The sequence below is a fragment of the Homo sapiens genome, chromosome 18 (assembly GCF_000001405.40).
Source record: "Homo sapiens chromosome 18, GRCh38.p14 Primary Assembly".
Classification (NCBI taxonomy): domain Eukaryota; kingdom Metazoa; phylum Chordata; class Mammalia; order Primates; family Hominidae; genus Homo; species Homo sapiens.
Window position 1 is genome coordinate 14,768,179 of NC_000018.10, and position 25,209 is coordinate 14,793,387.

The 25,209-nt window shown below is 35.0% G+C and overlaps 1 protein-coding gene across 11 annotated transcripts in view; it reads left to right on the forward strand.

The window, feature by feature from the left end:
- The window catches only part of ANKRD30B (ankyrin repeat domain 30B), a 192,964-nt gene that overhangs the window by 20,007 nt on the left and 147,748 nt on the right, over positions 1-25,209 (forward strand). For 9 of the 11 annotated variants that reach the window (XR_007066151.1, XR_007066152.1, XR_935057.3 and 6 more), the window contains exons 8-16: positions 1,165-1,195; positions 3,978-4,050; positions 9,807-9,897; positions 11,782-11,843; positions 14,349-14,436; positions 16,158-16,186; positions 16,285-16,357; positions 18,861-18,922; positions 23,223-23,313. Coding sequence is in view for 6 of the 11 variants with exons in the window: in NM_001367607.2 (NP_001354536.1) it covers positions 1,165-1,195; positions 3,978-4,050; positions 9,807-9,897; positions 11,782-11,843; positions 14,349-14,436; positions 16,158-16,186; positions 16,285-16,357; positions 18,861-18,922; positions 23,223-23,313 (600 nt within the window). In the remaining 5 variants the exon portion in view is untranslated. Of the gene's footprint in view, positions 1-1,164; positions 1,196-1,501; positions 1,540-3,977; positions 4,051-9,806; positions 9,898-11,781; positions 11,844-14,348; positions 14,437-16,157; positions 16,187-16,284; positions 16,358-18,860; positions 18,923-23,222; positions 23,314-25,209 lie in introns of those variants that run through there. The other 2 variants (XM_024451167.2, XM_024451168.2) reach the window with 2 other exon arrangements.

Consider the following 25,209-nt stretch of genomic DNA (forward strand, 5'->3'; position numbering starts at 1 on the left):
TAAAGCTTTCTTTAGAACCCAGAAGGACTGGGATCAGAGACCTTCCAGATAGCTGAACATATGGAAGTGTTTGGAGGCTGATGTGCCCTGGGAGGGCATGGAAGCTCCATGCCCCTTTCCTATAACTTGCTCTATGCATCTCTTCATGTGTCTCCTTTGTGATACCCTTCATAATAAACTGGTAAATGTGTTTCCCTTAGTATTTGGGGCACTCTAGTACGTTAATCAAACCCAAAGAGGGAGTCATGAGAATCCCAACTTGAAACCAGCTGGTTAGATGATTCAGAAACCCACATTTGCAACTGATGTGGGAGGGCAGTCTTGTGAGACTGAGCCCTCAGCCTGTGGGATCTAACACTATTTCTAGATAGATAGTGGAATTAAATAGAGGACAACTTGCTGGTTTCTGCTACAGAATTGTTTGCTTATTTTTTGGTGGACAAAATCTTCCACACATTTGGTCACAGAAGTCTTCTGTTTTGATGACTGTGGCATGAGAGCAGAGGGAAATCATGTTGTGTGTGTTTCTTTCTACACATAGAGCAGATAAAGAGAGACTACTGTGTACTCTGCTCTAACTGCTCTTAGTTCATTTTTCTAGAAATTATACTTTCTAAGGTTGACACTGTCCACTTACACTAATTCTGATAATAATACAATTTTCTGTCCGTCTTACAGGATTCTGTTTGGATTATGACTATTGTATACTGTAGCTCACTTGTAGAGATCAGATTGTGATAAATTCTATTTTTCCGTGCATTTGAGAACTATAAAGGAGGGGAAAAGTGTTCTTAATGCATTAATTTCCTACCAAGAGTATACTTAATAATAATTTTACTATAGTCTCAAGGTATGGTCCCAAAGGAAACCTTTATATCAAATCATCTGAGTCTTCATAACAAAGTGTTGGAATATTATGCTTTTTTAAACAAGATCTGGATCATGCACGAAAATATGCATGATTCTTTTAAATTAAGTTGAAGTCTCGCAATGTCTCCTAGGCTGCTTTCAGACTCCTGGGCTCCTCAGGCGATCCTCCTGCCTCACCTTCCCAAGTAGCTGGGATTACAGGCATTTGCCATCGTGCCCTCTTACGTTGTTAATACTCTGTATTTTCTATTTATATTTGTTAATTTAATGTATTTTACTTTTTTTCTTTAATAGTGGATGTGAGTTCTGTAGAGCCTATATTCAGGTAAGACTTTGCGGTTTTTTAAAACGAATAGGTTAACTCAGAAAACATAGAGAAAAGAAATCACTATCTGCTGAGTATTCTACTCTGGGCTAGACAACATATTATGTGCTTAATATTTATCATCTCACATAGTCATCACACAGCTTTGCAAAGCATCTGTGCTACTGTCACATACTTTGTATTAAACAGGCAAATGTGGTTCAGAGAGGTTGATTAATTGGCCTATGATTCATAGCTAAAAAGTAGCTGACCCTTGAGTTTGCCATCTGCCTACTTTGGTCCCTAATCCCTTCTCTTCTCCCTCAGCATAGATTGATGGAGACCTCTGCATCACTGAGATCAAGGTACAGGTCCAGATTGGATCAATTCACAAAGTTACATTTTGTTACAGGTTAACTCTTTTTAGAGTTTTCTCTTAGAACACTCATTCATCAAATACTTTGTTCTAACATGTTTAACTGTTAAAGCGGTAACCAGTACCTTGTTATTATCATCAAAGTGTTTAGAGCAGATCTTACTTAGCTGTGGCCACAAGACATAGGCTTTTGTTTCATAAGAAGACCAGGTAAATCTATAGATGGATTATTTTACTCTTAGTGGAGAATAGATATAGATATGTTATGTTAATCATATTTAGAGGCTATATCTTATAGAATTCTCTATTGACTGACTTCCAAGTTTAGTTTTTCTTCAAAGCAGTTCCCTGCCTAGTTGCAGGCATTTTTCATTTTTTTTCTAGAGTCTTTTTTTCTTCTTCCATGACTTTTCTATAATCCTTTCCTGATTACTTTCTTCTCTGCTTTGCTTGGTGTTCTTTTCTTCTATTGTTTTATTCCTTTCTGCCAGCACCATTTTTCTATAGCTAAAATAAAAGGCACGTGGAATTTTAGGATTTTAAGGACTCTTGGAGGCTAATCAAAATACTTTCATATTTCAACATGTATTTAATATCCTGGAAAAATGGTTGTTCAGATGGAGAGTCTGAAACTCAAAGTGACTTATTTAAATATAGGAGGTAGGAGAAGTAATATTTAAACTGATTTCAAAGCCCATTACTCTTGTTTTTATATCATCATGTAGGTGAGTGTTTGAATAATAGGAAGAGGGAATGGGTCTAATTAAACAAATGGAAAAGGATAAGAATGGAATTAGCTGGAGAACCCAGTGGAAGTAGATAAGAATGGAATTATCAGGGAAAGGCCAAGTTTGAAAAGAAACAATCCCAGGATTGGTAGGAGTAAGGGTTTTACCAAAGAGATCAGAATGTTGGATTTTATGACAAGTTTGATTAAAGATAAATTAGAGGATCAAAAACACAGAAGACATTGGGAGTTATCTAGAAGAGCATACTAAAATAGGGTTCAAAGACGTCCTGAATAGGTCACTGCTTTTTTGCTTGTTTAATTGGAGGAATGGGCAAACTTCAAGCTTTCTATTGAAAGATAAAAAAAAAAAGAGCCACTGGGAAAGGTCTCTACAATCCGATAGAAATGTCCTATTCTGTTCTTTCACCCCAAATCTCACAAGAGTGGCTTAGAGCCCCTTGAATGCTAGGGGATTAAAGGTTGCTGAGTCACATAGATCTGTGGCCCAAGGCAGATGTCCCCTCCCCTTTGTCTCTTTTCCCAAGCCTCAGATGTCCTACCCATGTACATATAAAGCAGGGGTAAGATTGACTGGCAAGTAAGTCGTGGTTCAGTTGGGTTTTTGGTAACATGCTTATGCTGGAGGTGAATGACTGACTGAGACTCCATTTCGTTGTTTTTCAGGAACAGGTGAATACAGAACTTCTTGGTTGGTCATTGAGTTTATCTTTTCAGTAGTCTGTGCTTTGATGAGCTGAATATTTAAAGGTTGGAGACTGCCATGAAGCCCTGCAGAAGAAAGATCTGGAAGTGAGAGAGACACTTTCACTATATATAGTGGCTCCCACTTCCAGATCTTTCTCTCTGTATATATAGTACTTAGAGAAATCCAACTATCAGGTCTCAGTTTTTCTAGCAGTCTCTCTCCTTGGGTATAAGTACCTATGAAGATTTTTAAGGCTTTGCTAGTTTATGTAGACCTGAACAAGGAAGGACAAGTATAAAATAAGTAGTTAGACTTTCTTACTTTTAATGTTTCAATTTTTGTGAGAAAATATTCCGAATAACAAATATACATTTGCAACTTGAAATTTGTAGGTTCAGCTTTTCAACATTTCAAATATTTCAGGGCACTGTTTTGTAGTGTTTCAGGGTGAAGGGAAGCAACAGGGCCTTCTTAAGTGGCTTTTATGTTGAAAAACAAAGAATGTCATTTTCCAGTGACACAGATTAGTCTTTGAATCAGAGATAGACAATGGATAAGGGACAAGGTAACTGTATCTTTCTTCCTTATTTTAGGTTATCAAGTTTGTTCCAGTTTATATATCAAAAGTTATGTCAGCCATTAAGTAGATTTCCAGTTCATCATTGAGGACAGTTTGTGAGGATGAATTATACTCAGGGTATGCCAATTATATTGGCAGTCACTATTTCTTATGGAACTAAGAGTCAGTCTTTATTGTATGTTTTAGGTTGGGGAGGTAGAGTCAAAAATAGGTAACTAAAATCATTTTTAAAAACAGAGGACATATTTTAATTCTACCAAGAAACATGATATAATATACAGAGGACTGGTCTTTCCCCAGATTTTGTTTTTTGTTTTCATTTTATAGAGTGAGCACCAAGATATGAACTAGCAGATTTTCTTTTTAAATATATGAATTTGCTCATTTATGTTGTATCATTTTTCTTTAAAGTCTTTTTGGCACACGGACTATTGAAAATTCACAGTGTACAAAAGTTGAGGAAGACTTTAATCTTGCTACCAAGGTAAAATGTTCTTTTGTGAAGTTGATTTTCTCAGTTGCAATATATTTCTGTATAGTATTTCTTAGCAGTGGTGTATGTATCATTATTTCATGTTGGTAATATAAAGTTGGTCAGATAAAAACATTTTATAGAAATAGGAGTAGTTGATTTAAACAGTTTTTTTTTTTTTTACTTTAGTAAATAACAAATGATTGGTAAATACTTTGAGGGTGTGAGGGCCGAAAAATGGAATGGGCTGGAGAATACATAGTGACAGGAACATTATACTAGAAAAAACTTTTCCACAATAGAGAATATATAAAATCTGGTAAAGATTTATTTGGATAAGTAAACTTACTGTGACTTTTAAAATTATTCTTTTGTAACTTAAAACAAAATTCATGCTTAAATTTGTCTTGATGGACCCAGTTTCTTATTATAGTAATCAAGGAATCTCTCTGATACTGTTCAGTTCCGAAACTGTGCCACATAGCATATAGGGTTTTTTTTTTTTTTTTTTGCATGTATTATTTTGATATCACGTAGTTTTCAGGAGAGAGCTTTTTCTCAGTTTCTCTTCTTGGTTCTTTAATTACACCAAAATAATATTAGAAATTGTGAAAATTTATTTGGGCATGGTGGTGCATGCCTGTAGTTCCAGCTACCAGGGAGGCTGATGCAGGAGGATTGCTTGAGCCCAAGAGTTTGAGACCAGTGTGGGCACATAGCGAGACCTTATCACTAATTTTAAAAATAATTGTAGAAATTTAGAAATGTAAATTCTGTTTCTCAGAATCTGTATTATTAAGGCATGCCAGTGTGTTTTCTAAGTTTTTCATTAAAAGTATGCTTTAAATTCTTCATCTAAATGAAGAATGCAGATTTTACCCCAAGTAAACAACCAGTTCTGGAAGCAGAGACTCTGAATAAGCATATAGTAAGATTTTAATTTCAGAATTTTTAAATTGCAGTTTTTAAATATATTGTTCAAAGATCTTTGATCACATTTGAAAATCTTAAATTATGGAAGATTTTGTATTTAGTTATTTAAATAATCATTTTGGAGCTCTTGCATCACTATGAGATACTGCAGGTTAGAAAACATACGTGTGTGCATCCTAGTGTACCCAGAATACAGTCTTGCCTATAAAAAGATTTTAAGAGGTTTTCAATGTGAATAAATAAGCTGACAAATGAATTTTTATATAATGGAATATTACAAGTGAGATAATATGCATGATATATCTTATAATTAAATCTAATGCATTTCAAAAATATGGCTTAAATTTATATTTTCTTTTAATATTTAGAATGCATAAATTCATGTGAAAATATGTCTCAAATAAGAAGACAATCAGAGATATGTAGTAAATAGGAAAGAAGATTACACTATATTTTCTAGTATCCTCCAAGTGGAGTTTAGATTAAAATAATTTTAATCTCAACTCATGTTCTTTTTTTTTTTTTTGAGACAGAGTCTCTCTGTCATGCAGGCTGGAATGCAGTGGTGTGATCTCGGCTCACTGCATCCTCTGCCTTCTGGGTTCAAGCAATTCTCCTGCCTCAGCCTCCTGTGTAGCTGGGACTACAGGCGCATGCCACAATGCACAGTTAATTTTTGTAATTTTAGTAGAGACAGGGTTTCACCATGTTGGCCAGGATGATCTCTATCTCTTGACCTCATGATCCGCCCGCCTTGGCCTCCCAAAGTGCTGGGATTACAGCTTGAGCCCCCGCGCCCATCCAAAACTCAAGTTCTATTAAACATATCTTGTCAAGGAATACATTACTCTAAAATTCTGATTACCAGTACTTTCTTCAGGTGAAAAGTTTATGGAACATTCCATTTTAAATTTTTTCTCTCTCTGTAGTAAGAATGTTCCCGCTTTTAGGTATTGGCTGAAGACCATGTTTAACTAATTGAATGTCTTATTATATAATAATAAAATTAAAATCTTTATTACCCAGGTATTAACAAATAACTAATTGTAGTGTAAATACTGATCAGCATTATAGGAATATATTATGAACAAAAGTCTGTACTTTATGTGTTTCATCATATATCTTATAGTTGTTGTTTTTCATTTTATTTAATGACTGAAGCTCATACTTGATTGACTGGTCACGTCTCTTGTTTGTTTCTCCCTCCTCTTTCACCTTTTTAAAAATGATTTGCCCCAGACTTTTTTTCTCACAGAATACATTTCTTCAGTGTCTGCTTTTTAGAGCATTGCTGTCTCAATTGTCAGCATATTTATTTACAGGTTTCTATTTAGTGGCTATGTATGATTTTCATTAATCAATCATTGCCCTCTCCATGATTTATTCTTTTTTTCTCTGTTTCTTGGAAGAAGCAGAATTTATACAATTATTTATACTTAGCTTTTTGCCGTTCAGAATAGAAACAACCTATACTATTTCAATGCAAACCCAGTTAAATAAGGTACTATTAAAAACTAAACTTTCATATTTTTCCACACAAGAGGTAATTAATACAACTGTAAATTAGGAAGAGATATTGCAAAATATAACATGTAATTTAACTTTTTAAATTTTAATTATTTCTACAATACTATAAACTACGTAAGAGTAAATTTTTGTTCTAGGTTATTTTAGCTAAAAAAAAAAAAAATCTAAGGGCCAGGTGTGGTGGCTCATGCCTGTAATCCCAGCACTTTGGGAGTCCAAGGCCGGCAGATCACGAGGTCAGGAGATCGAGACCATCCTGGCTAACAAGGTGAAACCCCATCTCTACTAAAAACACAACAAAGTAGACGGGCGTGGTGGCGGGCGCCTGTAGTCCCAGCTACTCGGGAGGCTGAGGCAGGAGAATGGCATGAACCTGGGAGGTGGAGCTTGCAGTGAGCCCAGATCATGCCACTGCACTCCAGCCTGGGTGACAGAGCGAGACTCCATCTCAAAAAACAAACAAGCAAACCAAGAAATTATTTTCTGACATTTATCAGAACATACTTTATAATCATGTATCAAGTAGATAACAGCTGCATAGTGCAATTCTGCTAATTTGCAGGATTAATTTTGAAGCCAGTGTAGAATAGTGCAAAAGAAAATAAGGCTTAGAAGGCACTAGGAATCTATTTAGTTCTGAAGTTGTTTGTCTAAAAACTAAATAATTTCTCTGCATTGATTTATGGGCAATTATATGATTCTGTGTATATCTAGATGTACAAAAGCTCTAATTGGATTCAGGGAGAAAGAGTTTAAACTGTAGTCTTAGTCTTGCTCAACTTGGAACTTGAAAAGATAATGCCTGGGACTTCAAAATATCAGTATTGGTATATTTTGATTATCCAGTATAGATCTGAAGGAACATTTCTGGAGTTGGATAAACATGAGAAATAGGACACCTGTAAAACTATAATAACAACAATTTGGTCGAGTAGTATTTTAATAAGTAGACATTCTTTTCACAAATAGAACTCTTTGAGTTTCTTTGTGGCAGCCATGTTTGCAGCCACATAGGTATCAAATAATAATGATGTATTCCAAGGTCACAACTGTGGATGTGGAAGAGATAGCAAAGGCCTCACCAGTTAGGTAGAAGCAGCAGCTGCATAGTGGTAACAGCAATGAGTGGATGTCAAAAGATAAGTCTGTATTTGGTTCTGACACTTACTAGCTATGGGAACTTGGAAAAAATCAATTAACTTAACCAAATGCAACTAACTTGGTTTATAAAAATAGCGCTCATATCTACCTCTTAGTTGCATGTGATGAAATAATGTTTTAACAAATGTGAAAACATTTTTTAAACTGGAAAGTCTGTATACAAATGTAAGACAAAATGATCAAAGTGGCATTTATGTGAAAGCAGTATTGTTAGCACAAGAATGGGAAGTAAGAACAGGCATGTGGATTTCTAATTTTGGGTAAGGGGATGGTAACTTTCAGCAGGCTACTACTGCAGATTTTCCATAGAAATATAGCAGTTTGGAAAGTGAGACTTTCCTGATGAGATTTTCAATATTTTGACCTGGAGTAATTCCTTTCTGAGTACCAACTGTGTGCTAGGCAGTGAGTCTGAATATCCAAGATGAGGGATTATGCTGTAGTAGTAGGAAGAGAATAACAAATAAAAAACACTTATAAGCCACTATAACTTTTTCTTTAAAACAAAACAGAGAATGTTCAGTTAGAGAAAATTGGAGAACTTTATAATTAGCATGCGTATGGGAGTGGCAGTGGAATTCTATGGTCAGAGTAGATCTTTCTGAAACTGCCATTTAATCTCCCATCTCAAAGATGAGGAGTAAGCCATATGAAAGTCTAGGAGGAAGACATTCTGAACAGAGAACAGTGGACCATATTTGTTCATCATTTTGTTCTTAACAACTTAGAATGACTAGCATGCAGAAAGTGGGGTAACCACCCATGTCATCGTCATCCTCATTTTTCTAAGGTGAAGAAAAGTCTGCAAATATGTGTCTGGCATATGTTAGATGTTTCACGAACACGTTTTTATTTTTCTCTTTTTATGAAGGCTTGCTCTACTTTTCTGAAGTTGTGTATTAAGAATGAATTGCGTACTTTATCTAATGATTGTTTGCTTTCATTTAAAAATAACATAAATATAAGTTTTCCTTATGAATCTTTCCTTTTATTCAAGCAGTTCTGTATCAGCAAAAACTTGTAAAAATCATTCTTATTATTTTAAGCCCTTGTTTTCCTAACTGAATCAGCTTCTACAGAGTTCTACTCCTACTCCGCATGACATACTCTGAAAATTCTCTTCATGCCATGCATAGTTTTTAACAAAAATTCTATAATTATGCATATGTCAAGTGTTTAATCATATTGTGTTCTGGTTGAAATGCCCTATTATTTTTGGTGAGGACTACAGAGTAAGGCAGATACTTTGAAGTTAATTCCTTTTGAAATATGTACACGAGTGAATTTTTTATGAATATGATTTATTTTCCATGCTCAGTAACCCAGTCAATAGCCACATGAAGATAAAAGGTAAGTGTGATCTACAAAGCATACGTGAGGTTTTCTCTTGAAATGTTTTGGTTTTCAATATGTGAACAGCTTTAAATCTAATTGCCTTTAAAGTTAAAAAAAAGTTTTAATTATTTTTTTTTCTTTTTTGAGACAGAGTCTTGCTCCGTCACCATGCTGGAGTGCAGTGGAGTGATCTCAGCTGACTACAACCTCCACCTCCCAGGTTCCATCGATTCTCCTGCCTCAGCCTCCTGAGTAGCTGGGATTACAGGCACCCACCACCACGCCAGGCTAATTTTTGTATTTTTAGTAGAGACGGGGTTTCACCAAGTTGGCCAGGGTAGTCTCGATCTCTTGACCTCGTGATCCCCCCACCTTGGCCTCCCAAAGTGCTAGAATTACTGGCATGAACCACTGCACCTGGCCCCATAAAAAAGATTTTAAATAAAAAATATTGATGCTTGTCATTTTTATTATTTTTAAATTGAAATTATTTATTGATGTGGCTCAAGCCATAATCCCAGTGCTTTGGGAGGCTGAGGCGGGCGGATCACTTGAGGTCAGGAGTTCGAGACCAGCCTGGCCAACATGGTGAAACGCCATCTCTCCTAAAAATACAAAAAATTAGCCAGGTGTGGTGGCTCCTGCCTGTAGTCCCAGCTACTCAGGAGGCAGAAGGAGGAGAATCGCTTGAACCTGGGAGACAGAGGTGGCAGTAGGCCGAGATCACACCACTGAGCCACCCTGTGAGACTTCATCTCAAAAAAACAAAAAAAGGAAAAAGACAAATTATTTATTGGTATTACCTTTAACAGATTATCTCTAAGAGTGCTGCACAGAATTATACGTGTTTACCTGATGCTACATATCAAAAAGATATCAAAACAATAAATCACAAAATAGAAGGTAAGAACCATTTTTTATTTAAAACATCTTTTGACCAAATGTTTGTCTAAATTCATGAGGACTGATATACTCTGACAGCCAGAGAAAATTATTTTTTAAATGCATAACACGGAAGAACAAAGGCAGTGAAAGTTATGTGTCTTCTCAGGTGTTGACAACAGATTATATTGAGAGTGCCAAAAAAGAGCTGAATTATTAGTTTAAATTCAATATACTGTAAGACCTGAGGAAAGGAGTGAAAGAGGGAATGAAGGCTGAGGAAGACAGAGAGTACAGAGAGTACATGAGGCAACAAGAAATGGGTTTAGGTAATAGAGGATGGTAAAATAAAATAATTCTTTAGCGAAAGATAAGGCATGATTAGAAAGTTTTGAAGAATATAAGGTGACCTTTCTTTACCAAAATTTGCCAGAGAATTACAGCAAACATGTTTTCACTCTTGTCTTTCTCACCGGTGGGAAGGCATTAGGGATGGAAGCACCTGACCATGGAGAGTTGTGTTTTATCTGCAAAGGGTTAATATAAGCATATTTGCACAGCTGTGCGTGTATATAATTTGTCATATACACTCGGTATTGACCAGAAGTTTTCAAACTTTAGAAAATCAGCTGAATACCTTGTCAACAATGCATGCTGTGATTCAGCAGACTTGGGATTCTGGAATTTTTAATAAGTTCTCAAGTGATGCTGATGCTGGTGGTCCTTGGACCTCACTCTTAAGTAGCAAGGGAATAGCCTTTCCTTTGGAAAAATCTGGAAGAAGGGCCATTGGATAGAAGGTCAAGACATAACAGGGTCAAGGGAAAGCATTATATTGCTTTTATTTCTGAGTATGTTTCTGACCAGAGGGGAAAAAAGAGGTAAAGAAATGGTAATTACAGATGTCAGATACTACCCCTAAACAAAGAGAAAAAAAGTGTTGGGAAAATTGATTTTAAGAGATGTTGAATGGGAAGAATCAAGACTACAGACGTAGACATTATTTTGGCTAAGGAAGAGGGATTGTGAGGCAGGACACGGGATAAGAGAGAAGATAGCCAGGCAACTTTCGAGTTTCTGAATAGGATATTTGAGTGAATTCACTTCAGATGCATTTAGAATATTTCTGTTAAATGAATATATTGATTTTCTGCCTCATGGCTCTCAGTACTCCTTGGACCTTTAATTCCATGAAATGTGGGAAATTTAGGTTACTTACAGCAATCATTTTTCCTAGAAATGTCTAATGTTTCTCCAAGGAGGCCCAAGTTGATTCTGAAGCTATTGTTGCATTGAGGAAAGACTATCTCATTGTAATTAAAGCAGCTTTTAATTTATATGCAGTACAAGTTCTTTAAGCTTATTTATTTAAAACGCATTCACACCAAATATACTGTCATGGCATATTGAAATTTCAAAGGGTTGAACATATATTTCCTAATATCAAAAAGTTAATTTCTTGAAGAATCTTACTTATTGATAATGTTTTTTGAAGAACTGTGTAATAAAGATTGCTTAGTCAATCAAACTAAGTAATACTAAAAAATAAAAACAGAGAGAATTGAGAGATGATAAGTAATTAAAGTTATCTGAGTGAATAGCAAATTTCAGACATAGTGTGTTTCATGGGAGAAGAGGATATTATTTCTTTTGTGAGGAAATAATTAATACAAATTAGTCAATTTTTATTGCTTTTTGCATTCTAATGAATATAAAGTTAATTTTTAGATTTTTAAGATTGTAGTTCTAACCAATTGACTATAGAAGTGGTGGTTGTTATTCAATAGAATATACAGGCTCCAGAAGAAAGTCCACAGATTCATGAATGAAAATAGATTTGTATATGTTTTTAAAATTTATAATAAGGAATGCTCTCATGAATGTATCTGTGATTAACATTTTTAGATCAGATGTTCCCATCAGAATCCAAACGAGAGGAAGATGAAGAATATTCTTGGGATTCTGGGGTATTGTGTATTATTGCTGTTATTATTCTCTAAAAATATTAATATTGAGTGATGTGAAAATGCAAAATCAGAGGCTTTGACTTGGTTCTCTTACCACTGCATATGCTCAGAAGAAATTCTGATATTTCTAAAAACATACTTGGCTGGGTACTGTAACTCATGCCTGTAATGCCAGCATTTTGGGAGGCCTGAGGTGGGAGGATCACCTGAGTTCAGGAGTTTGAGACCAGCCTGGCTAATATGGTGAAACCCTGTCTGTACTAAAAATACAAAATTAGTTGGATGTGGTGGTGCACACCTGTAATCCCAGCTACTCGGGAAGCTGAGGCAGGAGAATCACTTGAACCTGGGAGGAGGAGGTTGCAGTGAGGTGAGATTGCACCATTGCACTCCAGGCTGGGTGACAGAGTGAGACTCTGTCTCCAAAAAAAAAATACTTAAAAAAAATCTATGTGGTAAGTAGATTACTGCTTAATGGTGAAATTCTACTAATTTGCAGAATGAGTTTTAAACACTAGTGTAGTATAGTATAAAAAATAAGGCTTAGAATTCACCAGTAATTCACAAGTTCTGAGGTGAAATTTGGCCAAAAATTAAAGAATTACTCTGAGTCCACCTGTGGGCAAATATATGATTCAGTGGTATATCTAGATGTACAAAAGTTCTAATTGGATTAATAGAAAAACAGTTTAAGCTGCAGTTTTGTACAACTTGAAACATGAAAAGATAATGCTTTGGACTTGAACTTATTGACATACGTGTATTGTCCAGTATAGATCTGAAGGAACATTTCAGGAGAAAAATATGCATAAAGAATAGGAAACCAGTGGGACAATTTGTTTGAGTAGTGTTTTAAAAAGTAGAAATTATTTTTATAAATAGAACTCTTTGGGTCCGTTTGTGGTAGCCATGCTTATAGCAACATAAGTATCAAATAATAATGATGTGTAGTCCAAGGTCACAACTGTGGAAAGACACAGGAAGTGTCTGACCTCTTACATCCAAGCCCCTGCTGCACAGTGGTAACAGAAATGAGATGTCAATAGACAAGTAGATTTTATCTAATTTGTCCATAGACCAAAAAAAAGACTTTTTCTAATATTTGTCTGCTTTCATTTAAACATAACATAAACATAAGTTTTCCTTACTACTTTTTCATTTTATTCAAATACTTTTTCTATCAGCAGACATTTTATCAAAAACATTTTGATTATTTTAAGCCCTTGTTTACCTAAATATAGCCGCTTCTACAATGTTCTGAGTATTCTTTTTTTTTTTTTTTTTTTTTTTTGAGACAGAGTTTCGCTCAGTCGCCCAGGCTGGAGTGCAGTGGCTGGATCTCCACTCACTGCAAGTTCTGCCTCCTGGGTTCACGCCATTCTCCTGCCTCAGCCTCCGGAGTAGCTGGGACTACAGGCGCCCGCCACCACGCCCAGCTAATTTTTTTGCATTTTTTTAGTAGAGACGGGATTTCACCGTGTTAGCCAGGAGACTTATTCTTAACATTCTCTTTATGCCATGCATCATTTTTAACACTAAATAATTCTATAATCATGAATATTTTCCATGTTTAATGCAGTATGTATTTGCGGCAGCACTCCTCTCCAGGAGGCACCAGCTGCAGGGAGTCTGTCCCTTGCAGACCCCTGACCCAGGGAAAGATGAATAAAGTACATTGACACACAGATATTCTGCTCTGCCAGTCCAGCTGAGAGTGTCCGTGTGGCTTACAGACTCCCTGCTGAGTTCTGTGAACAGTTGCCACTATGGCCCTGATCAGCTAGTCAGACTCGCATTTATTCAGTAAGATAATAATTAACAAAAGCTTGAGTCAACACCATTAGAGGTTAATTGACATTGTGGACTTCCCAAGTAAAAAGCACTTAAGCACCTGTGGTACATCAAAGGTTAGTCTTAAGATTATATGAGTAAACTAGCTAGCTAGGTAAACTACTCTGCCTTCCTTTATGACTATTTTAATTTGTTTAACGAAAGGTAAAGATCAGGTTGCCTTCAACCATATCCATTACCAAAGTTATGCAAACTTCTCGGCCTTCGAAGAAGTTTTGTGTCTATCTCTATAACTATCTCTAATATTTTTCCCACCAGCCTGATTGAACTCCAACATGCGTTATGGCAGGTAGCAAGTGTATTGTATTTTGTTTGATGTGCTTTCTTGATTTTTTGGTGCAGAAGATAAAGTAAGATATTTTTAAGTGCGTTACTTTTTGAAATATGCAGATGAGTGAAAATTTGTGTCAATATTATTTATTTTTCATGCTCAGTAACCGAGTCAATAGCTGCATGAAGACAACAGATAAGTTTTGACCTAGATAGCATATGTGAGGGTTTCCATCAAAATGTCGTGATTTTCAATATGTGCCTATCCTCAAATCAAATTGCCTTTGAAGTCAGAAATTGAGTTTAAAAAATATTTTAATTAGGAATTTTGATGCTTCTTATGATTTTAAAATTGAAATTATCTATTGATACTACTTTTAACAGAGTCTCTTTGAGAGTTCTGCAAAGACTCAAGTGTGTATACCTGAGTCTATGTATCAGAAAGTAATGGAGATAAATAGAGAAGTAGAAGGTAAGAACAACTTTTTATTTGAAAAGTCTTTTAACCATATGTTTGTCTAAACGCATGATGACTGAAATACTCTAATAGCCAAATAAAATTACCCACTAAATACATAACATCGAAAAGAGAGGAGTAAAATGATAAGTTATGTATCTTTTCAGGTGTTGGCAACAGGAATATATAGAGAGTGCAAGAAAAAAACCGAATTATTTGTTTGAATCCAAGATACTCTAAGACATGAGGAAAGTCAGGAAATAAGTAAGGGAAAAGGAGTAAAAAGGGAATGAAGACTAAGGAAGGCAGAGAGAGTACAGGGAGTTCATGAAGGAACAAGAAGCAGGTTTATATAATGGAGGTGGCAAAATAAAATATTTTTTAGAAAAGATAGACCATGCTTAGAAAGATGGCAAGAATATAAAATGATCTTCTGGTCCCAAAACTTGTCAGAAAATTATTGCTAAAGTTTTTTCACTTTTCCTGTCTTTCTCACTACTGGGGAGGCATTAGGAATGGAATTATCTGAGCATGCAGAATTGTATTTTATTTGCAATAGGTGAGTATTAACAAAAATGCATAGGTGTGCATCTATATAATTTGTCATATACAGTCAGTATAGACCAATACTTATGAAACATTTAAAAATCAGCTGAATACCTTGGTAATACACAGTATCATTCAGCACAATTGAGTTTCTAAATTTTAATAAGTTCTCAGGCGATGCTGATGTCAGTGGTCCTTGGAGCTCACTTTGAATAGCAAGAGGAGTGCTCATTAGGTTTCTATGTTACAATCAGGCATGACAAATATATATTTTGCTGATGTTAGCTATTCAAGTGAGATATATTTGAAACTAAGAACATTGCCTTTATATTTTAAGAAAGTGAGTTGTTTTGGTAAAATTGCCATTCCAAAAAAATTTATTATAGACTAATGATACACCAAATCAGACAAATTGTAGGAACTAAAAAAATACTGAATTTATACTTGAATAATAAGATTGCTTTTTAAAATAAATATTGTGGTGACTTAACAATATAAAAAGTTATTTATGTTTAATACATCTATTGCAATTAATTTTTATATAAATATGTCAATATTGAAAGCTTATAAATTATTTCCATGATGAGTTTTATACATCTTCTTGCATAAGTGGATCAAGAAGCATTCAGATGGATAAACTGGAGGATACAGAAATATAGGCATATGATTACACCATATGGTTATGGAAAACAGTGAATATTTATATTTAGTATTATGACCTAAGTATATATCCAAGCTGATCAATTCATAACACTTCACTGATGAGATGTCAATTCTACATTCAGCTGAACTCTCATCATAACTATGTACCTTTCCAAAGATAGGCCATATTAAAGAACATGATGAATAGAATAATATAAATGATTTTAATGTGTTTCATTAAGTATATGGTGTAGCATTCCATGTTCAGGTTTGACATTTATTTTCTCATATCAACCCTTTTTACACGTGAAACACAATCTCGCTTTTGAGGTCTTAACTGCATGATCTATGAAACCTATATTTATATTTTCTTCAGTGAATTCCTGTCATGTGTGTGTCCTAAACAAACCAAAAGAAAACTTCCCAAATCTAAACTATTCATTCTCAAAGTCAACCAAGAGGACTCAGTTAGATACTATCACTGCATTCACTCGGTTGGCTTTGTCATATTTACTTATGATTGATGATAAATCTCTTTTGCATTTTAGAGCTTCCTGAGAAGCCATCTGCCTTCAAGGTATTTAGTTTTATGGTTTCATTTTGAATGACTTATTAACTATGTACTTTGTGAAGTACACATTCTTTATTGATCATTTTTCTTCCAAACCCATTTAGCCTGCCGTTGAAATGCAAAAGACTGTTCCAAATAAAGCCTTTGAATTGAAGAATGAACAAACATTGAGAGCAGGTAAATTTTTCAATTTAACTATGCAAAGATGAATAGTTCAATATTGGACATTTTGATAGTCTTTCTATCCCCAATGATTTATTTCTTTTAACTTTGATGAAAAGATTTGATCTAGATAATGCCAATACTGGTATTTATGTTTGAAAACCTGATATTACAAGAACAGTAATTTTCAATATATTTTTTTTAAAAAAATGTAGCCTTAATCTCAGGTGTTTCTACTTTTGTATCCCGAAACTGTAATGTTTTCTATTTTGAACTTCTGTATTTCTTAAAGATTCAAGAAGGTGAATTTTGAAACTCTAACTTTTTTAGTTCTTTGAAGCTTGATTCAGATTCCACGGTTTACTTCGGGGATCAAGTCTTTTACTGATATAACACTTGTGTTTTAATATTAATTACCTCATTTCCGGTGTTGTCACTTTGGGAATCTTAAGAAACTCAGTAACTCGGATCAGTGAACTCTGTGTGTTTGTGTTTGTGTGTGTGTGTGTCTGCGTGTGTTCCTGTGTGTGTCTGTTTATGTGTGTGGTACCTTTACCTTGTAAAGATGAGGAAAGTAATTAGTCATTTATTTGTGAATATTTGATAAACACATTTTTCCTAAAACTGTAATTCTGAAGCATTTGGCTTTAGAGTCTTTTTACACTAACCTACTTTTTAAAACTATTCTTATGCATGTTTAAATATTTTACAACGTGTGCATGGTCATATTTAATATGTACAATTTTTTTCAACTTCTAATGTATACATGGTTGTACAGTGTAATGTTCAGCAACATTCTTATTTGATCAGCATTATAATTTTTGGATTCATCCATAAAGGACACAATTAACTGTGTTTTTAAATATTAGGTTGTTTATAAAATTCCATTGTATGACAGTAGCATAGTTAATTGCACAGTTTTTATGCTGATAAGTAATAAATAAAAATGAAAACATGCAGATTTCCAAGTCTTTAAAAAGTTAGTTTTATGTGCTAATTTTTTAGTTATTAGAAATTAAAAGTAAAATATTTAAAATATTTCCTTGTGCAATCATACATTCCACTAAGAATTTGAACTGTGCCCCACAGCTTCTTAGAGCTATGGTGTGGCAACACGTAAGATCTCTGAAACGATCCAGGGTATGCTTCTGAAAATGAGTGAAAATGGTGACTTACCAAAGTATGATCTGAGTTTCTTGGACCCTCTGCATGAAATGTGAACATCAGGGATGCTGAGATCACAGGTTAAATTTACTTTTGAAAACCAGGTAGATTTGGGAGGCCGAGGCGGGTGGATCATGAGGTCAGGAGATCGAGACCATCCTGGCTAACAAGGTGAAACCCCGTCTCTACTAAAAATACAAAAAATTAGCCGGGTGCGGTGGCGGGCGCCTGTAGTCCCAGCTACTCGGGAGGCTGAGGCAGGAGAATGGCGTGAACCCAGGAAGCGGAGCTTGCAGTGAGCCGAGATTGCGCCACTGCAGTCTGCAGTCCGGCCTGGGCGACAGAGCGAGACTCCGTCTCAAAAAAAAAAAAAAAAAAAAAAAAAAACAGGTAGAGAGTTGATAGATGTCGAATGATAAATGTACTGTTAATGATGAAACGGTCTTTTAACTTTTAGTTGTGCACGTTTGCTTTTTTCTTTAACCTGACTCAAATAGTTGTAATTTGTACTTTTTGCTGATAAAGAAAACTGGAAGTTATTTTTGGTATAAATTCATTTTCTGTCTTATGTGCCTGAGAACTCCTCAAGTCTTGTGTGGGCCTTGATTTTATCCTATACAACATGTGGGAACGTTAGATTACTTAAGGCAATTATTTTTTCCTATACATTTCTGATGTTTCTCCAAGGTGTCACAAGCTGACTCTGAAGATATTGTTGCATTAGGGAAGCAGTGTGTCGTTGTAATTAAAGCAGTTCTTAATTTATATGCAATAAAAGTTTTTTAAGCTTATCATCCTAAAACATATACACACCCAAAACACACCCAATACACTGTCATAGCATATTGAAATGTAAAAGGGTTGGACATATAGTTGACTAATATCAAAAAGTTAATATTCCTAAAAAATTTTATTCATTGATAGATCATCTTTTTTGAAGAGCTGTGTAATAGAGATTGCTGAGTCAATCAAACTAAGTAACACTAGAAACTAAAAATTTACAAAGAAATGAGAGATGATAGGTAATTAAAGTTTTCTGAATGAACAGCAAATATAGGACATACTGTGTTTTACAGGAGAAGAGGATATGATTGCTTTGTGAAGAAATAACTCATACAAGTTAGTCAAATTTCTATTTTTCTTCATTCTAATGAAATAATGTTAATTTTCAGACTTTTTAGGTTTCAATTCTGATGGAGTGACTATAGAAGTAGTCACTGTAATCAACAAAAAGAATATACAGGCTACAGAGGAAAAACTACAGATTCGTGAATGAAAGTAGACTTGTGTATGTTTTTAAAATTTATAGTAGAGAAATGTTCTCATGAATACATCTGTGATTAACCTTTTATAGCTCAGATGTTCCCATCAGAATCCAAACAAAAGGACGATGAAGAAAATTCTTGGGATTCTGAGGTACTATGTGTTATTGATTTTTTTAAATATTAGTATTGCATGAGATGAAAACATAAAATCAGATGCTTAGACTTTATTTTCTCACCTCTGCATATGTCACCCCCAAATTATTTTTTGATATTTTTCAGAATACGCTTAATAGAGAATATATGTGCTAAGTAGATTACCACTTCATGGTGAAATTCTGTGAATTTGTAGGATTAATTTAAGAAGCCGGTGTGGTATAGTGTAAAAAATAAGGCTTAGAATTCACTAGAAATTCACATGGGATCTGAAGTACGTTTGTCTAAAAGCAAAAGAATTACACTGAGTCCAGCTATGGGCAAATACATGATTCTGTCTTATATCTAGATGTACAAAAGTTCTAACTGGATTCATGGAGAGACACTTTAAACTACAGTATTGCAAAAGTTGGGACCTGAAAAGTTAGTGCCTGGGACTTGAACGTATTGACATATCTTTATTGTTCAGTATAGATCTGAGGGGACATTTCAGGAGAAAGAAAAGCATGAGGAATAGGAAACCTTGTGGGAATATAATAACAAGAGTATTGGTTGAGCAGTCTATTGAAAAATATAAATTATATTTTCACAAATAGAACTCCTTGAGTCACTTTATGGCAGTGAAGCTGCAGCAGCATGAGCGTGAAATAATAGTGATGTGTTTTAAGGTCACAACTGTGGAAAGACATAGAAAGTATCTGACCTCTTAGAAACAAGCAGCTGCTGCCTGATGGTAACAGCAAAGGGTTGAAGTCCATAGAGAGGTAGATTTTATCTGATTTTTTATTAGACAAAACACTTTAATACCTGTTTGCTTTCATTTAGACATGACATAATTTTTTTCTTACTGCATTTACATTCTATTCAAGCACTTTTTCTATCATCATAAATTTTGTCAAAAACATGTTGCTTATTTTAAGCCCCTGTTTACCGAAATAAAGCAGCTTTTTCAGCATTCTGTGCATACACTATATGACAGACTCTAAAAGTTCAAGACAGACATCATTTTTAACGCTAAACAGTTCTATGACCATGAATATTTTAAATGTTTAATGCTGTATGTGTCATGGCAAGTAGAAAATGTATTGTATTTTGTTTGAAATGTCATTTATTTTTGATGAGGACTACAATATAAGTTAGATATTTTTAAGAGAGATACTTTTTGAAATATGCACGTGTGAATTTTTTCATGAACATGATTTGTTTTTCCTGCTCAGTAACCAAGTTAATGGCCACATGAATGTAAAGATAAGCTTGATGTAGAGAGAGTTATGTGAGGTTTTCTTTTATTTTCTTTTATTATTATTATACTTTAAGTTTTAGGGTACATGTGCACAATGTGCAGTTTAGTTACATATGTATATGTGAGCCATGCTGGTGTGCTCCACCCATTAACTCGTCATTTAGCATTAGTTATATCTCCTAATGCTATCCCTCCCCGCTCCCCCCACCCCACAACAGTCCCCAGAGTGTGATGTTCCCCTTCCCATGTCCATGTGTTCTCATTGTTCAATTCCCACCTATGAGTGAGAATATGCGGTGTTTGGTTTTTTGTTGTTGCAATAGTTTACTGAGAATGATGATTTCCAATTTCATCCATGTCCCTACAAAGGACATGAACTCATCATTTTTTATGGCTGCATAGTAATCCATGGTGTATATGTGCCACATTTTCTTAATCCAGTCTATCATTGTTGGACATTTGGGTTGGTTCCAAGTCTTTGCTATTGTGAATAGTGCCACAATAAACATATGTGTGCATGTGTCTTTATAGCAGCATGATTTATAGTCCTTTGGGTATACACCCAGTAATGGGATGACTGGGTCAAATGCTATTTCTAGTTCTAGATCCCTGAGGAATCGCCACACTGACTTCCACAATGGTTGAACTAGTTTACAGTCCCACCAACAGTGTAAAAGTGTTCCTATTTCTCCACATCCTCTCCAGCACCTGTTGTTTCCTGACTTTTTAATGATTGCCATTCTAACTGGTGTGAGATGGTATCTCATTGTGATTTGATTTGCATTTCTCTGATGGCCAATGATGGTGAGCATTTTTTCATGTGTTTTTTGGATGCATAAATGTCTTCTTTTGAGAAGTGTCTGTTCATGTCCTTCACCCACTTTTTGATGGGGTTGTTTTATTCTTGTAAATTTGTTTGAGTTCATTGTAGATTCTGGATATTAGCCCTTTGTCAGAAGAGTAGGTTGCGAAAATGTTCTCCCATTTTGTAGGTTGCCTGTTCACTCTGATGGTAGTTTCTTTTGCTGTGCAGAAGCTCTTTAGTTTAATGAGATCCCATTTGTCAATTTTGGCTTTTGTTGCCATTGCTTTTGGTGTTTTAGACATGAAGTCCTTGCCCATGCCTATGTCCTGAATGGTAATGCCTAGGTTTTCTTCTAGGGTTTTTATGGTTTTAAGTCTAACGTTTAAGTCTTTAATCCATCTTGAATTACTTTTTGTATAAGGTGTAAGGAAGGGATCCAGTTTCAGCTTTCTCCATATGGCTAGCCAGTTTTCCCAGCACCATTTATTAAATAGGGAATCCTTTCCCCATTGCTTGTTTTTCTCAGGTTTGTCAAAGATCAGATAGTTCTAGATATGCACCATTATTTCTGAGGGCTGTGTTCTGTTCCATTGATCTATATCTCTGTTTTGGTACCAGTACCACGCTGTTTTGGTCACTGAAGCCTTGTAGTATAGTTTGAAGTCAGGTACTGTGATGCCTACAGCTTTGTTCTTTTGGCTTAGGATTGACTTGGAGATGCAGGCTCTTTTTTGGTTACATATGAACTTTAAAGTAGTTTTTTCCAATTCTGTGAAGAAAGTCATTGGTAGCTTAATGGGGATGGCACTGAATCTATAAATTACTTGGGCAGTATGGCCATTTTCATGATATTCATTCTTCCTACCCATGAGCATGGAATGTTCTTCCATTTGTTTGTATCCTCTTTTATTTCATTGAGCAGTGGTTTGTAGTTCTCCTTGAAGAGGTCCTTCATGTCCCTTGTAAGTTGGATTCCTAGATATTTCATTCTCTTTGAAGCAATTGTGAATGGGAGTTCACTCATGATTTGGCTCTCTGTTTGTCTGTTATTGGTGTGTAAGAATGCTTGTGATTTTTTACATTGATTTTGTATCCTGAGATTTTGCTGAAGCTGCTTATCAGCTTAAGGAGATTTTGGGCTGAGACAATGGGGTTTTCTAGATATACAATCATGTCATCTGCAAATAGGGACAATTTGACTTCCTCTTTTCCTAATTGAATACCCTTTATTTCCTTCTCCTGCCTAAATGCCCTGGCCAGAACTTACAACACTATGTTGATTAGGAGTGCTAAGAGAGGGCATCCCTGTCTTATGCCAGTTTTCAAAGGGAATGCTTCCAGTTTTTGCCAATTCAGTATGATATTGGCTGTGGGTTTGTCATAGATAGCTCTTATTACTTTGAGATACGTCCCATCAATACCTAATTTATTGAGAGTTTTTAGCATGAAGGGTTGTTGAATTTTGTCAAAGGCCTTTTCTGCAACTATTGAGATAATCATGTGGTTTTTGTCTTTGGTTCTGTTTATATGCTGGATTACATTTATTGATTTGCGTATATTGAACCAGCCTTGCATCCCAGGGATGAAGCCCACTTGATCATGGTGGATAAGCTTTTTGATGTGCTGCTGGATTCGGTTTGCCAGTATTTTATTGAGGATTTTTGCATCAATGTTCATCAGGGATATTGGTCTAAAATTCTCTTTTTTTTGTTGTGTCTCTGCCTGGCTTTGGTATCAGGATGATGCTGGCCTCATAAAATGAGTTAGGGAGGATTCCCTCTTTTTCTATTGATTGGAATAGTTTCAGAACGAATGGTACCAGTTCCTCCTTATACCTCTGGAAGAATTCGGCTGTAAATCCATCTGGTCCTGGACTCTTTTTGGTTGGTAAGCTATTGATTATTGCCACAATTTCAGATCCTGTTATTCGTCTATTCAGAGATTCAACTTATTCCTGGTTTAGTCTTGGGAGGGTGTATGTGTTGAGGAATTTATCCATTTCTTCTAGATTTTCTAGTTTATTTGTGTAGAGGTGTTTATAGTATTCTCTGATGGCAGTTTGTATTTCTGTGGGATTGATGGTGATTTCTATCAAAATGTTTTGATTTTCTATACGTGTGTACTCTTAAGTCGAATTGTTTGCAAACTAGGAAATTGTGTTTTTAAAAAAGATTCTAGTTAGAAAATTTTGATACTCTTCATTACTAGGATTTTTTCATTGAAATTATTTATTGATATTACTTTTAACAGAGTCCCTGTGAGACGGTTTCACAGAAGGATGTGTATTTACCCAAAGCTACACATCAAAAAGAATTCGATACCTTAAGTGGAAAATTAGAAGGTAAGAACCATTTTTTAATTAAAAAGTCATTTGACCAAATATTTATCTAAACTGATGAGGAAGGATATCCTCTAATAGATGAAGAAAATTACCTCCTTAATGCAAAGCACAGAAAAAAGAGAAGTGAAACGGTGATAAGTTATACGTCTTATCAGGTGTTGGTAACAGAGTATATTGAGAGTGCTGAAAAGGAACTGAATTATTAGTTTGAATTCAAGGTATTCCAAGAGCTGAGGAAAATGAGAAAATAAGAAAGGAGAAAGTAGTAAAAGAGGAAATGAAGATCGAGAAAGACAGAGAGTACAGAGAGGACGGGAAGGAACAAGAGGCAGGTTTATATAATGGAGGATGGTAAAATGAAATGATTCTTTAGGAAAAGATTGGGCATGGTTAGAAATTTGGGAAGAATGTAAAGTGACTTTCTAATGCCAAAACATACCAGAGAATTACAGCAAAAATATTCTGACTCTTCCTGTCTTTCTCACTGGTGGGAAGCCATTAGGGATGGAAGCAGCTGACCATGGAGAGCTGTGTTCTATTTGCAATAGTTGAGAATAAGCATATATGCATGGCCACACATGTATATAATTTGTCATATACACTCCGTATAGACCATAAGTTTTCAAACTTTAGAAAACCGTCTGAAAACCTTGTTAACAATTCACACTGTGATTCAGCCGACTAGGGATTCTGCATTTTTAGTAAGTTGTCAGGTGATGCTATTGCTGGTGGTCCTAGGACCTTGCTCTGAGTAGCAAGATGAGAGACCTTTGTGGGAAAAATGTGGAAGAAGGGCCATTGGGTAGAAGGTCAGGACAGAAAAGGGTCAGGAGAAAGCATTATGGTGCTCCTATTTTTGAGTATGTTTTTAGTTAGGGGAGAAGAAGAAAGGGGCAATGGAATAGAAATTGTAGACGGAAGATACTACTGCTAAACAAAGAAAAAGGAAAGAGTGTGTGTTGAATGGGAAGAAACAAGAGCACAAGTCTAGAGATTACTTTTGCTAAAGAAGAGAGATTATGAGGCAGGAAGCAGGGGACAAGAGAGAAGCCAGCTAGATTATTTTGGATTTTGTATGAAGGAAAATGGAGTGAATTCACTTCGGAAGCATTTAGAATATTTTCACTGCAGAATGTTAGAGTGTGGGTGCTCCAGAGACTTTTGGAATCATGAGGATTACTAGAATTGGACTAAACCTCAGTGACTCATTAATTTTCTTTATTACTATGAGGCATCAAATATATATATATATATATATGTATATATTTTGTTGATATTCACAGTTTGAATAAGATATACTAGAATGTAAGAACCTTGGCTTTATTTTTAAGGAAGCAAATTGTGTTGGTAAAATTGCCATTTTATAAAACCTCATTAGCGAATAACATGATATACCAAACCAGACTAATTTTAAAAACCATAATTCTGAATTCATGACTTGAATACTTAAATTGTTGTTATTCATAGGTATTTTACTGATTTTAACCTAGAAAATTTTGTTAATATTTAATGTCTGTTGCAACTAAATTTATAACAAATACATCAATATTGAGGGCTAATTAAGTTTGCTGTTCCTGATGAGGTTTGTACATCTTCCTCCATGAGTTGATCAAGAAATATTGAGATGGCAAAGCTAGAAATTACAAAAATGTTGGATACTATTGTAGCATACGGGTATGAAAATCAATGAATATTTATATTTAGTATTATGCTCCAAGTATATATCCAAGCTGATCAATTCATAACACTTTCACTGATGAGATGTCAAATCTACATTCAGCTGAACTCTCATCCGAACTGTGTACTTTCTCAATGACAGGACATATTAAAGAACATGATAAATATTTGTAATGTAATGATACAAATTATTATAATGTGTTGCATTAAAGACACATG